Here is a 3,282-nt window from a genome sequence, read left to right as displayed (position 1 = left end):
AAACTGATGAAACTCCATCTCTACTAAAAAATACAAACATTAGCCAGAGGAGGTGGCACTTGCCTGTAACCCCAGCTACTTGGGAGGCTGAGGCAGAAGAATTGCTTGAACCTGGGAGCCAGAGGTTGCAGTGAGCTGAGATCACATCACTGCACTCCAGCCTGCATGACAGAATGAGACCTTGTCTCAAAAGAAGAGAGAGAGAGGAGAGAGAGAGAGAGAGAAAGAAAGAGAAAGTGAGAAAGAAAGAGAGAGAGAACCCCAGCTACTTGGGAGGCTGAGGCAGAAGAATTGCTTGAACCTGGGAGCCAGAGGTTGCAGTGAGCTGAGATCACATCACTGCACTCCAGCCTGCATGACAGAATGAGACCTTGTCTCAAAAGAAGAGAGAGAGAGGAGAGAGAGAGAGAGAGAAAGAAAGAGAAAGTGAGAAAGAAAGAGAGAGAGAACCCCAGCTACTTGGGAGGCTGAGGCAGAAGAATTGCTTGAACCTGGGAGCCAGAGGTTGCAGTGAGCTGAGATCACATCACTGCACTCCAGCCTGCGTGACAGAGTGAGACCCTGTCTCAAAAGAAAGAGAGAGAGAGAGAGAGAGAGAAAGAAAGAGAGAGAAAAAAGAGAGAGAGAGAGAAAGAAAGAAAGAAAAAGGGAGAAAGAAAGAGAAGGAAAGGGAGAAAGAAAGAAAGGGAGAAAGAACAAGAAATAAAAAGAAAGAAAAAGGAAGAAAGGAAGGAAGGAAAGAAAGAAGAAAAGAAATGAAAGAATTAAGATGTATATTGGAAGGTCAATTCTTAGTCAATCATGTAAGTGATTTCTTCTTTCAATCAAGGAGTAGTTTTTGAATACTGGAAGAACATTTCCTTAACTTCTTTTTGGTTGTTATTTTGCTACTCACAATATAAAAACCCTTGACATGATTTACTTTTATGTTTAATCTGTATTATTAATATTTTCTTCATGCCTGTCTCAAGTCTAGACAATTACAAAACTATAAAACCATGATTTATGGCATTTTTAGATTTCCATGGTGTCAGTGTTCCCACCACGGCCTATTTTAAGCTAAAAATGTGACATAATTGAAATAAGAGCAGGGTAGAGTTGCATGGTAGTGACTAGGACACAGTATTTCCACCATATAAACACAGCAGATGTAAACAACCTCCAGAGTATAGGTAATAGCAAAATAATAAGGAAGTGATGAGCTCATTACCTTTGTTTTTAATACAATTTATTTCGTTTTAAGTTTATAGAATTTAACTTTTAATAGTGGCCGTGTTTAACAATTGGCTCAGAAAACTCTCATAAATTTAATAATTGGCTCCTGTGAGTGGGTGTGGAACAGCTCCAGCATACCACTGTATATTTGTTTTCCTCTTCCTCGTGTATCTGGAATTTTTCAACATTCGGAGAGAGTTATTGAGTACTTCTATGTGCTAGATGTTGGGGATTCAGTGACATAGTCCCTGTCTCATGGAGCAAATAGTCTTATTGAAAAACAAATAAGCAGTGATTTAGAGCAGTGGTGTAAGTGTGTCTTTGTGTTTTATTTACAAGAGAGCAGAACTCCTGTTTGGTGTTAAGGTGCACACTTGTTCCATTCTTTTTTTTTCTTTTTTTTGAGATGGAGTTTTGCTTTTGTCGCCCAGGCTGGAGTGCAATGGCGCCATCTCAGCTCGCTGCAACCTCCGCCTCTCTGGTTCAAGAGATTCTCGTGCCTCAGCCTCCTGAATAGCTGGGATTACAGGCGTCTGCCACCACACCCGGCTAATTTTTGTATTTTATAGAGATGGGGTTTCATCATGTTGGCCAGGCTGGTATTGAACCGCTGACCTCAGGTGATCTGCTTGCCTTGGCCTCCCAAACTGCCGCTTGAGCCACTGCACCCGGCCCCTTGTTCCCTTTTTGTTTCCCAGTTGTCTTGTACAGGTAGCTCTTTGTGTCAGGGTTTTCCAGTTTTCTGACTAAAAATTCTTCCTCTTAATAAAAAGTTTGGCTAAGGAGCATGACGCTAAGGATGATGAGGTGCTGTCTTGAAGTTGCCTCTTGAAGGCTGATCGTATTAACAGGTGTGGCACCTGCCTAATTTGGAAGAAAGGCCCTCTAAACACCTTAAGATTTGTATGGACCCAGGAATTCCTTTTCCTTCACTGTCAGAACTGATTGCCATGCCTTCTACCCTCTAACCTGGGCAAGTGCAAATTCTGGATCCCACGCAAAAATAAATACATGAATAAAAAATTTAAAATGCCCACATGCCCTTTGTTGAGAATAAAAGAGAGTTGATGTTGAGAGGGCCTCCTCATTTTGTAGGTTCCCCTGAAATCAGAGGATTTCCAAGCGATGGTTACACCTCTGCTTATGTAAAAAGGTGTGGGGCTTGATCACTTCATCCAGACACGGATGCACCTGTGCAGGTACACGGGTCTGCACCCACAAGGACACACACACAAGGAGAAAAAGGCTCCCTTCTTGTCTTAACAGAGATTGTTCATCAAAAAGGGTTAGCAGCGAGTTCTCTGTCATCAGGTGTAATGTCCCCTGAAATGACTTGGAAAAGTTTAATTATGTGAGCGCCTTATTTTCAGCTCCTGTTATCTTTTGAACTCTGGGAGGGTGGGGGGGATGGGTTACCCCGAAGCTCAGGCTCTTTCTAAAGAGCCTTTGTTTTTCTGCCCAGGTATTAGGTTGGTGGCGCAACAATCCCAGGTACATTTGGTTCACTTTCCTCCGCCCCGGCCCTACCCCCAAGCGCTATCCTGGGTCTGAATGTGGGCCTGTGTTCTGGCCCACCATCCTCAGGCCTGTACAGGGGACCGAAAGAGAATGGGCCACAGGAATGCACCCAGAACAGAGCCAAATTGTTCAAGCTGCGTGAAGAAGAAAGAAAAAACGGGAGGAGGGTGCACGGGGAGGGAGAAGAAGAAAAGCTTTCCTTGTCGGTTCAATTTCTCCGGAGATATTTGGAGGATAACATCGTAATTTTTCAGGAGGGGCTGCAGGGGGAGCAGAAAACGAGAGAGCCGAGTTTTATCGGCACAGTGGCCCATACAGAAAGGTGACATTTGAGAGAACAATTGCTAGGTTGTTTGGCCACATTTGCTTCTATGAATGAGGCTTAAGAAAAGGTGTCTTTGGATTGCTACTAATAGTCATCTTCATCATTCCTGCTCTCTCTCTCTCTCTCTCTCTCTCTCTCTCTCTCTTTCTCAGTTCCCTTATGAAATAAGGGCACACAGGTAATAAACAAAGCACTATAAAAGATCAGATTGAGGTATTCTGTGG

Source organism: Homo sapiens, chromosome 17 (genome assembly GCF_000001405.40).
Source record: "Homo sapiens chromosome 17, GRCh38.p14 Primary Assembly".
NCBI lineage: Eukaryota > Metazoa > Chordata > Mammalia > Primates > Hominidae > Homo > Homo sapiens.
The sequence above is the reverse complement of the archived record's forward strand: the minus strand, read 5'-3'. Positions refer to the sequence as shown.